The 12,695-nt window shown below is 41.4% G+C and overlaps 1 protein-coding gene across 11 annotated transcripts in view; it reads right to left on the reverse strand.

The window, feature by feature from the left end:
- Positions 1–9,528: 9,528 nt before the first annotated feature.
- Positions 9,529–12,695, reverse strand: part of ADPGK (ADP dependent glucokinase) — a 32,465-nt gene continuing 29,298 nt past the window's right edge. For 7 of the 11 annotated variants that reach the window (NM_001365224.1, NM_001365227.1, NM_001365225.1 and 4 more), the window contains one exon: positions 9,529–11,130. In NM_001365224.1, coding sequence (NP_001352153.1) covers positions 10,576–11,130 — 555 coding nt within the window. In that variant the 3' untranslated portion in view covers positions 9,529–10,575. Of the gene's footprint in view, positions 11,131–11,303; positions 11,377–12,695 lie in introns of all 11 variants that reach the window. The other 4 variants (NM_001365228.1, NM_031284.5, NM_001365223.1 and 1 more) reach the window with 2 other exon arrangements.

The following is a 12,695-nucleotide window of genomic DNA, read 5'->3' on the forward strand; positions in this document are numbered from 1 at the left end:
AAATCAACTCAAGATGGATCAAACACTTAAATCTAAGACCTGAAACCATAAAATTCTAGAAGATAACATTGAAAAAAATCCTTCTCAACATTGGCCTAGGCAAAGACTTCATGACTAAAGAACCCAAAAGCAAACGAAACGAAAACAAAGATAAATAAATGGGACTTAATTAAACTAAAAAGCTTCTGCACAACAAAATAAATAATCAGCAGACTAAACAGACAACCCGCAGAGTAGGAGAAAATTTCTGCAATCTATACACCTGATGAAGGACTAATATCCAGAATCTACAAGGAACTCAGATCAGCAAAAAAAAAAAAAAAAAATCCCATCAAAAAGTGGGCTAAGGACATGAACAGACAATTCTCAAAAGATATACAAATGGCCAAGAAATGTGAAAAAATGCTCAACATTGCTAAAGATCAGGGAAATGCAAATCATAACCACAATGTGATACCACCTTACTGCCACAAGAATGGCCATAGTCAAAAAATCAAAATATAGATGTTGGCATGGATGTGGTGAAAAGGAAACACTTTTACACTGTTGGTGGGAAAGTAAACTAGTATAACCACTATGGAAAACTGTGGAGATTCCTTAACTAAAAGTAGTTCTACCACCTGATTCAGCAATACCACCCCTGGATATCTTACCCAGAGGAAAATAAATCATTATATGAAAAAGATACTTGCACATGCTTGTTTATAGCAGCACAGTTTGCAATTGCAAAAATATGGAACCAGCCCAAGTGCCCATCAACTGATGAGTGAGTAAAGAAATTGTGGCTCATGCCTGCAGTCCCAGCACTTTGGGAGGCCAAGGCAGGCAGATCACTTGAGGCCAGGAGTTTGAGACCACCCTGGCTAACATGGTGAAACCCTATCTCTATTAAAAATACGAAAATTAGCCAGGTGTGGTGGCGCACGCCTGTAGTCCCAGCAAGTCAGGAGGCTGAGGGAGCAGGATTGCTTGAGCCCAGGAGTTTGAGGCTGCAGTGAGCTATGATGGCACCACTGCACTCCAGCCTGAACAACAGAGGGAGACCTTGTCTCTTACACACACACAGCAACTCATAAATCAAGGGAAAAAAAGAAAAAAATACTTTGAACTAAATGATAATGAAAACAAAACGTATAGGATTCAGCCAAAAGCAGTGCTTAGAGGGAAACTTAGAATTGTAAATGCTTCTATCAGAAGAAAGGAGAAAATCAGTGATAACAGGTTTCCACCTTAAGCTAGAAAAAGCAGAGAAAAATAAACCCAAAGTAAGTAGAAGGAACAAACAAACAAGTATTAAAGAAAAATTTGAGAAGCCCCAAATTCTATGGAAAAAAAATTTATGATAAATCCCTACAAAGAGCTGAGTGCGGTGGGTAGCTCATGCCTGTAATCCCAGCACTTAGGGAGGGGGAGTATTGCTTGAGCCCAGGAGTTCAAGACCAGCCTGGGTAACATAGTGAGACCTACGTCTCTCCAAAATAATTTAAAAAATACAGAATAAGTTAGCAGGGCACGGTGTCACATACCTGTGGTCCCAGCTACTTGGGAGGTTGAAGTGGGAGGATTGCTTGAACCCTGGAGATTGAGGCTGCAGTGAGCCATGATTGTGCCACTGCACTCCAGCCTGGGCAATAGAATGAGACCCTCTCTCCTGAAAAAGAAAAAAAAAAAAAAATCCCCAGCTAAACTGATCAAGAAAAAGACAAATTACCAGTATCAGGAATGAAAGCGGGTATAATATTACAGATTCTGCAGACATGAAAAAGGGAATGTTATGAACAGTTTTATGGCAATAAACCTGACAAATGCAACAGACAAAAATCTTTGAAAAATACAACATACTGCCTGGCATAGTGGCACACGCCTGTAGTCCCAGCTACTCAAGAGGCTGAGGCAGGAGAACCGCTTGAACCCAGGAGGCGGAGGTTGCAGTGAGCCAAGATCGTGCCACTGCACTCCAGCCTGGGCGACAGAGCAAGACTTCGTCTCAAAAAAAAAAAAAAAAAACAGAAACAAGATGAAATGTAAAATCTTAAGTCCTACTAAAGAAACAGAATTTGTAAATCAAAAGTAATCCTTGAAAGCAGACTCCTGGCTCAGATGATTATACTGGTAAATTCTGTCAAACATTTATGGGGCAAAATAAATTCAACCTCACAAAAATTTGCAGAAAATAGGAGCGAGAACTTAACTTGTTTGTATCAGGCTAGCAATAACCCTGATGTCAAAACTGGACCAAAGACATTACAAAACAACAAAACTATAGACTATTACCCTGTATGAACATAGGTACAAAAATCCTCAACAGAATATTAGCAAATCAATCCAGCAATATATAAAAAGGTGAATATGTAAATCATGACCAAGTTGGAGTTATCCCAGGGACCCTAAGCTTGGTTCATTATTGAAAACCAAAGTACTCACATGCATTAACAAAAGAGAAAAGTCATATGATTTTAGTAGATACAGAAAAAAAGCAATTTTTCTTTTGAGACAGTCTTGCTCTGTTGCCCCGGCCAGAGTGCAGTGGTGCAACCTCAGCTCACTGCAACCTCTGCCTCCTGGGTTCAAGTGATTCTCCCACCTCAGCATCCCGAGTAGCTGGGACTACAGGTGTGAGCCACCAGGCCCAGCTAATTTCTGTATTTTTTCTGGGGGAGGGGAGGGGGGGCTGTTTCGCCATGTTTGCCAGGCTGGTCTCGAATTCCTGGCTTCAAGTGATCCACCTGCCTTGGCCTCCCAAAGTGCTGGGATTACAGGCATCAGCCACCACACCTAATAATTTTTTTTTTTTAGATAAGGACTCACGGTTGCCCAGCCTGGAGTGCAGTGGTTCAAACAGCTCACTGCACCCTCGAAGTCCTGGACTCAAGTGTTCCTCCTGCCTCAGACTCCCAAGTAGCCGGGATCACAGGCATGCGCCACCATGCCCAGCTAATTTTGTTTAAGAGATGGGGGTCTCACTTTGTTGCTCAAGCTAGAAAAAAATAAATTTTTAAAAAGCCAGTATAGCCAGGCATGGTGGCTCACCCCTGTATTCCCAGTACTTTGAGGGGTGGAGGCAGAAGAATCACTTGAAGCCAGGAGTTCAAAACCAGCCCAGGCAACATGGTGAGACCCCATCCCTACAAAAAAAATTTAAAAGAAAAATTAGCTGGGCGTAGTGGCACATCTTGTGATCCTAGTTACTTGAGAGGCTGAGGCAGGAGGCTCACTTGAGCCTGAGAGGTTGAGGCTGCACTGAGCCATGATCTGTGATCATGTCACTGCACTCCAGCCTGGATGATGGAGTGAGAGCCTGTCTTAAAACACACAAACACAAAAAACCCATCATGTTTCTTAAATGATAAAGGACTGTTACATAAAATATACAAATAACTTCAAAAACTCTACATTAAGAATACAACCTGAGGCCGGGCGCGATGGCTCACGCCTGCAATCCCAGCACTTTGGGAGGCTAAGGCGGGCGGATCTCTTGAGGTCAGGAGTTGGAGACCAGCCTGGCCAACGTGGTGAAACCACGTCTCTACTAAAAACACAAAAATTAGCCAGGCATGATGCCTGTAATCTCAGCTACTTGGGAGGCTGAGGCAGAAGAATTGCTGGAACCCGGGAGGCAGAGGTTGCAGTGAGTGGAGATTGCACCATTGCACATCAGTCTGGGCAACAGCGAAACTGACTTAAAAGCAAAAAAACCAACCTGACTAGAAAATGGACCAAAACCCCTCACCTCACCAAAGATACACAGATGGCAAATAAACATATTTAAAAATGTTCCACATCATATATCATCAGAGAAATGCAAATTAAAATGAGATACCACTACATACCTATTAGAATGCCCAAATCCAGAACACTGACACCACCAGATGCTGGTGAGGATATTGAGCAATGGACTGTTCATTTATCGATGTTGGGAATGCAAAATAGTATAACCACTTTGGAAGACAGTTTGGCAGCTTCTTACAAAACTAAACATACTTTTAATGTTAGAACTCAGCAATCACACTCCTATTTACCCAAAGGAGTTAGAAATATATGTCCACACAAAAACCTGCACATGGATGTTTACAGCAGCTTTATTCACAGTTGCCAAAACCTGGAGGCAACCAAAATGTCCTTCAATAGGTGAATAAATGAATAAACTGTGGTACATCCAGATAAAAGACTACTACTCAATTCTAAAAAGAAATGAGCTATGAAAAGACATGTAGGAAACTGAAGTGCGTATTACTATAGAAAGGAACCAATTTGAAATGGCTGCATCCCACATGATTCCAACAATATGGCCTTCTGGAAAAGGCAAAACTATAAGACAGCAAACGGATCAGTGGTTGCCAGGCATTAGTGGGGAGGGAAGGATGAACAGAGCACAGAGGGTTGTTAGGGCAGTGAAATTACCCTGTGTGATACCATAGTGGTGGATGCATGTTGTTATATTAATATATTTGTCCAGGCCAGGTGTGGTGGCTCATGCCTGTAATCCCAGCACTTTGGGAGGCTGAGGTGGGCAGATCACCTGAGGTCAGGAGTTTCAGACCAGCCGGGCCAACCTGGCAAAACCCCGTCTCTACTAAAAATACAAAAATTAGCCGGGCATGGTGGCGCACACCTGTAATTCCAGTTACTCAGGAGGCTGAGGCAGGAGAATGGCTTGAACCCAGGAGGTGGAAGTTGCAGTGAGTCAAGATTGTGCCACTGTGCTCCAGCCTGGGTGACAGAGTGAGACTCTGTCCAAAGCCACAGAATGTACAAGACTGAAGCCAAAAGTAAATTATGGACTTTGGGTGATAAAGATGTGTCCGTATATATACATCAGTTGTAACAAATGTGGGAGATGTTTGCTTTACATGTTCTTGTGGGAGATGTTGATAGGGAGGGAAGAGGCTATGCATGTGTTGGGGCAGCTGGTATATGGCAAGTGTCTGTATTTCCTCAATTTCCTATGAACCTAAAACTTCAATACCCTTCTCAGCCCCTGAGAAAGTAAAAACAAAACAAAATCATAAAAATTCTCAGCAAATAAAGAATAGATGGGAACATCTTCAACCTGATGAAGGGCATCCATGAGAAAAAAAATGCAATGGATATCATATTTAGTGAAATATTGACTACTTTGCCCCTAAGATCAGGACCAAGGCAAAGATGTTTGCTCTTACCACTTCTATTCAGCCTTATACTGGACTAGAGTTCTGGCCAGTGCAATAAGGCAAGAAATAAAAAGGCATAAAGACTAGAAAGGAAGAAATAAAACTCTTTACAGATGACATGATTATGTGGAAGATCCTAAGGAATCCTAAAAATAAATTATTAAAATAAAAGTGACTACACCCAAGTGGATTTGGCAGGGTCACAAGATACAGTCAATGTACAAAAATCAATTGTATTTTTATATACAAGGAACAATTTTGAAAATAAAAAAAATCACAAAAGTGTCAAATACTATTGATACGAAATACTTAGGAATTTAACAGACTACACGTTAAGACCTCTACTCTGAAAACGGCAAAAGCACTGGTGTGAAACAGAAGGCCATTATAGAAATATATATCATGTTCATGCATTGTACGACTAAATACTGTTAAGATAAAAATTCTTCCGAAATTCATCTATAGATCCTATCATAATCCCAGCAGGTTTTGGGGTAGAAATTGACTTGACAAGCTGGCTCTAAAATGTTATGGAAACACAAAGGACCAAGAACATGTAAAGCAATCATGGAAAAAAACCAAAATTGGAAGACTTACACTGCCTTACTTCAAGACTTACTATAATAGTGCTCATGTAGCACTGGCATAAAGATAGACAAATAGAGCAATAAAACAGAAGTGAGTGCATACATAGACCTTACAGTTATACAGTCATTTGATTTTTGATAAAGGTACCAAAGCAATGCAATGGGAAAAGTCTTTTCAACCAATGTTACTGGAACGACTGGATAGCTGTATGGAAAAGCAATCTAGGGGCAGGGGTTGGGGAGATGTACAACACGGTGACTCTACTTAATGTATTATTGAAAATTTCCTAGTATATAAAAATACAATACAAAAGAATTTAAAGAAGAAAAAGTTATTGAAAATTGCCAACAGAAGATTTCAAGTGTTCTCACCACAAAAAACTGAGACAATGCATAATTAGCTCAATATAGCTATATACCTACAGCTAATGTAAAGGTAATATATACATATTTCAAAACATGCTGTACATGATAAAAACTTACACATTTTATATACAAAGTGAGACTATATTTGTGACATGGGCATGGTCCAATATTTCTTTGGGCATAGAGAACATTAAGACATTAAGAAAAAGGATATCAAACCACAGACTTGGAGAAAGTACAAAACATATCTGACAAAGGACTTGTATCCAAACATTTTGGATGCAACTCTTATTACTCAAAAAAACCTAACAACCCAAACAACATACACAAAGCAAACAACTCAACTGGGGGAGAAAAAGGCAAAAGATTTGGACACTTCACAAAGAAAGATATATGAATAGTCAATAAAGCACATGAAAAAGTGCTCATATGTCATTAGGGAAATACAAATTGAATCCATGCTGAAATACCACTGTATACCTGTCAAAATGGGTAAAATTAAACATTGACAACTCCAGATGGTTGTGGGGAAGAAAAGCAACCACAACTGTCATATGCTGTTTTAGGGAGTGTAAATGGTCCAACCATTTTAGAAAAAAGGCCTTTCACCCAGCAATTTCCCTCCTATAGGCCTTTACCCAAGAGAAATGACAGTACGTCTACACAAACACTTGTTGACAGCAGCTTTATTCATAATAATTCCAAAGTGGAATGCTCTGTACTCACAGTGGAGTACTATCTAGCTATAAAAAGCAACCAACTACATGCAACATGGATTACTCTAAAAAATACTATGCTAAATGGAAGAAGCTCTATACAAAGGACTAAATACTGAATGGCTCCATTTTTAAGTTGCATTCTGAAAACAGGCAAAACTGATTTCTGGTGGAAAATAACTGGTTGTTCTGGGGCTTGAGGTATGCGGTGGGGATGACTTGGAAGTGGCATGAAGGAACTATCTAGGGTGATGGAGACTTTTCATTTTTGCTGCTCCTTGCAGATCAAGACTAACTCAGACAATGTGCTTGGGGCTGTCCATTCTGAATCTTTTTTTTTTTTTTTTTTTTTTGAGACAGAGTTGGCTGTGCTGCCCAGGCAGAAGTGCATGATCTTGGCTCACTCCAACCTCTGCCCCATGGGCTCAAGCAGTTCTCTTGTCTCAGCCTCCCCAGTAGCTGGGATTACAGGCACCCACCACCACACCCAGCTAATTTTTGTATTTTTAGTAGAGACCGCGCCTGACCGTTACCTGGCCAACATGGTAAAACCCCATCTCTACAAAAAATACAAAAATTAGCCAGGTCTAGTGGCAGGCACCTGTAATCCCAGCTACTAGGGCGGCTGAGGCAGGAGAATCGCTTGAACCTGGGAGGTGGAATTTACAGTGAGCCGAGACTGAGCCACTGCACTCCAGCCTGGGTGACAGAGCGAAACTCTGTCTCAAAAACAAAAAGGCCAGGTGTGGTGGCTCATGCCTGTAATCCCAGCACTTTGGGAGGCCGAGGCGGCTGGATCACCTGAGGTCAGGAGTTCAAGACCAGTCTGGGTAACCTGGTGAAACCCCATCTCTATTAATAATACAAAAAACTTAGCTGGGCGTGGTGGCAGGTGCCTGTAATCCCAGCTACTCCGGAGGCTGAGGCAGTTGAATCACTTGAACCCAGGAGGTGGAGGTTGCAATGAGCTGGGATTACACCATTGTACTCCAGCCTGGGCGACAGAGCGAGACTCTGTCTCAAAAACAAAAACACAAAAACAAATTTACCAAATGGCACACTTAAAATTTGTGCAGTTTCACTATATAAACATTTTCACCTTTAAAAAAAAAAAGACCAGAAAACAAAATGTTAAATTATTACAAGTAGCTTTTCAGTGATTTAAAATAGTTCTAAAGAGACCCAAGAAATTGTCTGTTCAGCTTGGTTATAACTGACAATTATTTAGCTCTTAAGTATGTGCCCCATACTGTGCTAAATATTCCACATGGCAGTCTCCTGTAATCAACAGCCCTATGAAGGTAGGTACCGCCATTAACCCCATTTTACAGATAAGCAAAGTAAGGCTCAGTAAGGGTAACTTGTCCAACATCATTCAATACTCACCACCTCAAAACCTTTTGTACAATTTGGATTTCTTCTCAAACTTGCCAGGAGAGAATACAATGCAAACTGTACCTGCATAAGATGACGGATTTTTGGCTGTACTCTTACTTCTTGGTAGTGCTTTGTATGCTGCAGCTTTTCTTTTCCCTGAAACTAAAATCAGTTTCAAATGAAAGCCAGAGGGAGTGTACCAACACTTTTCAGGAAGACTCACCCTTCACCAGGCATCCTTTTTAGGCCAATGGATTTTCAAAGATTTCTTCATATAAAATCATATGTAAAATACCTTTGTAAAACACCAAAGGGTTGAGAAACCTGAAGCCCCCACCTGTTCAGCTTATCCTACCCTTCCAACTCACCTCTGCATAATCTGTCTTGTGTGATAAATACCCATCACTTCTATTGCTTAGCTGCTTCACAAAAAAGATGGACATTCTGCAGGGCGATGTATGTATGTTTAAATCTATATACACTTAGACAGTCAATGACATTTTATAAAACAATGCTTACTTATACTTACCCTTATAATGTATGATGTTTTTATACTTTTTGTGATAACCACCAAATGGATTTAGTAGCTATTAGTTCAAGATCCATTATTTGAAAAACACTGCTCTAGGGTATGTGTAGTCTATACTCCCTGAACTAGTCTTTACTGGCATCACCAATCAAAAAATGGAGAACGAGTTAAGAATACACACTCAGGACCAGGGGCTTAGTCAACTTAGACATTAGAAAAGATCATGTGAACACTTCAGGACTCCTAATAAAGTCTTCTTAGGTTTAGAATATAAATATTTCAATTCTTGAGAAAACAAAAATTTCATGTGAGCCTTTCTAATAAAAATAGGCTAGAAGGTTGGTGGTTATTTTTAACTTATCTGGGAAACAGAAGGAAGAGGTAGCAGCCAGAGATTTCCTTAATTTAAGCCTAGAATGCAGCTTTGAGTTACAAGCTGCATTCTAGGCTTAAATTTACTTTGAAGGAGTAATCAAGCTTTCTTATCCAAAGCAGGGAAAGGGAGGTCATAAATGAAGAGCTTGAGGTAGCTTTGAGATTCCAGAAGCTGCTGTGGGCCCAGGGGAAATGAAGACCCCTGAACTAGGCAGGCCCACCACCAGCTGCCATGTTCATACTGCCCTCCCAACAAGCTGAAAAGGCTCACCATGCTCTCAAACTGCTATGCTCCAATTCAGCTTTAACTGGGCTACTTCATACTAGTACTTTGTGTCACTTTCAACCCCACAGGACAAGCCTATAGCTCAGGCTCAGCATGAGGGACTGCAAGCACCTCAAGAGCAAAGTAACATGCACATCACAAATGAAGATCAGAATGATTTTTATCTTATCTGGTTCCAGAGTGGTGATGGAGACAAAAATCAATTACAGACAGAATTCCTGAAATGTAAATTGTTTTTAATATATTTAAGAGCACACAGAAGTCTTGATTTATAAAAAAATAAATATATAACATGACAAATTTACTGATGATCCTGGAGCTCTGAGGTCAAACTCTTTAAATGATCAGTGAAAACATAAAACATCCATGATCTGTTAACACACACAGGAGCATATTCCAGTTGTAAAAAACAAATTCCTTGAAGGCTCAGAACGAACAAAAATCAGTCTTTATGGCAGAAAGCACATCCAAAGCTAGGCAATGAAGTTCAGCCTGGGCCACGTGAACCTTTCACCAGCCAGCCTATAACCTATGGAGCCAGGACAGGAAAGCATGATCCTTCAGCTCATGACGCCACCCAGGCTTCCAGACAACTGCAGAATGAAAGAGTCCCTCAGAGGCTCCCCAGCCCCTGCTGCCATCATAAAGCACGGGAGGGATTGTTTTGTCCTTAGCGGCTCTGTCCTAAATTTGAGAGCAGGAGACTGAGAAGGTTATGCTCATTAAATATTGTCATTGTAACACGGAATGGAAATCATGATCCTTGCCCATGGGCACTGAGCTGAAAGAAAGAGGAACCTCACATGAGGCTTTCCTAGAGACCAGGATGTTGGGTGAGTGGGCGTGCACTTCTCAAGTGGGCAAGGAAGAACTGCTTTTCTCCAGCTGACATGCTCTCAGGGGTGAAGAAGTTTAGCTTAAAATACCTGATGGCGCTGCATAAACTGGGGATTTGGGAACTGAGTTTTTAGCTCTGTGACACACAACATAAAAAACAAAAATCCAGTCTCATTAGCTAAATTCGGATTAAAATCTGAAATGTTTTTATGGAGTTGCCAACAGGCTGGAATGTACCTGATACAGTTTAATCTGCTTTTATTTCTTTGGCTGTCTTCCAAACCACTTTCTTCCTGTAATTCTTAAGTTGGCTAGTTCTCCTTCCTCAGAAAAATTACCCCTAAGAATCTTCCTAATAGTGAGGGTGTACTTCCGAATAGAAGAGTCCTTCGGCTGAAATGGCATCTCCAAGGCCTACAGTTCGAATGGGGTCTTTACACACCAATACTGGTGTGAAGTGGAAGGATATTCCCTCTCTGTGCCATTCTACTACTGGCTTGTTTGGGTTTAATACAATCCTGGAGCCTGCCTCCGAATGGGAAGTCATGAACTCTTGGGGTGCCCTCAGAGACACTCGGCTGGTGTCTATGGTTTCTGTGGCGCAGGCCTGTGTCCCAGCCACACGAGCTCCTGCAGCCACGGCTGCCAGCTGGTTGGCCCAGTGTCCATCCACAGTTGCCAGGATGTGGTAGACCAGCGTGTGGAAATGGATCCTGGTGAGATCCGAGGCTCTGCTTTTACTCCTCCCATGTTCTTTCAAGATCCAGAAGAGGATGTCACTGACCATGCCCACATCAGGAACACCGTTCCAGGAAGAGAGAGAAGAGTGAGGTCCAGAGGCTGACTGGGTGAGAAATAACAGCTCCTGTTCATTCAGCCCAAGGGAAGTCACCGCGGGAAAGACCTGCTAACAAAAACAACAACAGGTATCTTTCTGATGGAGATAACCTGGCTCCTAAGATGTCTTATGACACAGCCAGTGACTAAATGACAGGGAACACAGGCAGGCAGCTTTCTTCCTTGATACAGGACTCCCTGGCCCTGAAGTCACTGTTTTAGCTATCACACCCCTATCTTCACCTTCATCATCATTTGGGAGAAACTGGAAAGCTGCAGTAACATTGTTTCAGATGCAGTCTTTTGTGATATGCCACTGTAAGACAAAAGGCAGAGGTGTCTATATTTTGTGTTTCTTTCCATGGTCCCTAGCTTTTGCCACTGCACACATAGGAGATACTCTTACCACTGATGGGGCATGGCTCTCAGTTCCTGAATGTCAGCAGTATTAGACCAGTAAAATGGAGACCTCAAGCAACATACTGTCAGGGTTATAATGATTTTTTTTATACAAAACACCAAGAAGCAAAAAGCATACAGTTTCATGTTAGAGCTAAGCTTTTTAAAAGCAGGTGTGGGTTAGGAAGACTGTCTGAATTTAGCAATAACACTGTAAGAAAAAGATTACCAAACAGGTGCCCGTGTTTTCTGTCTGATGGGGAACCACAATATCCACCTCCCTGTCTTTCTTACTTAGCACTTCCCTCCTTAGAACCAGAGAACCACACTTAAGGTAACAATTTTTGCAGGAGAGAGGAGTCCTTGTATGTATGTGTGCATGTATAAAATGGTTTTAAAAATTTAATGGCCTACATCTTTGTTGGAGCAATAGCAGCTTTCCTTCACTGCATGTTCTTCTGTGTCAGGCACTGAGCTAAAGGCTTTATTTCATCCAATTCTTACTGTAATCTTCTGAGGGAAGGAGGGACTGCCTCCATTGTACAGACTAAGCCTCAGAAGGGTTAAGTAGACAGTTACAGAGAAAATGAAATAGAAATGGCTCATTTTTTTAAAGGTGAGAAGAAAAACCCAAACAAAAGCTATACTGAAAAACACCAAGAGTGAACCCAAGTGTAAACTATGGACTTTGGGTGCTGATGACGTGCCTGTGTAGGCTCACTAGCTTAACAAATGTACCACTCTGGTGCAGGCTGCTGGTAGTTGGGGAGGCTTGTGTGTGAGGGGACTGGAAGTATATGGGAACTCTCTTGGATTCTGCTCTATTTTGCTATGCACCTAATATTACCATAAAAAAAAAATGAAGTCTATCAAAAAAAAAAAAAACAAAACCAACGACAGTCAGCCCTCCATATCCATGGCTTCAACCAACTTCAGATGGAAAACAGAGTATTCAAGGATGTGGAACCTGCAGATAGGGAGGGCCAACTTGTCTAATCCACAGATTCCACAGGGCCAACTGCAGGACTTAACCATCTGCAGATTCTAGTATCTGGGAAGGGTTCTGGAACCGCCCCCGCCGCCCCACACACCGCTGATGACGAGGGATGACTGTATACTGAAATACCATTTTTTCATCTGTCAGACTGATATAAATGCAAATTTTAACATTCTGGTAGCAAGGATATGAGGGAACAAGTATTTGTAATTATTGCCAGTGGGAAGTAAACTGGTATA

This window comes from Homo sapiens, chromosome 15, assembly GCF_000001405.40.
Source record: "Homo sapiens chromosome 15, GRCh38.p14 Primary Assembly".
NCBI classification, from domain to species: Eukaryota; Metazoa; Chordata; class Mammalia; order Primates; family Hominidae; genus Homo; species Homo sapiens.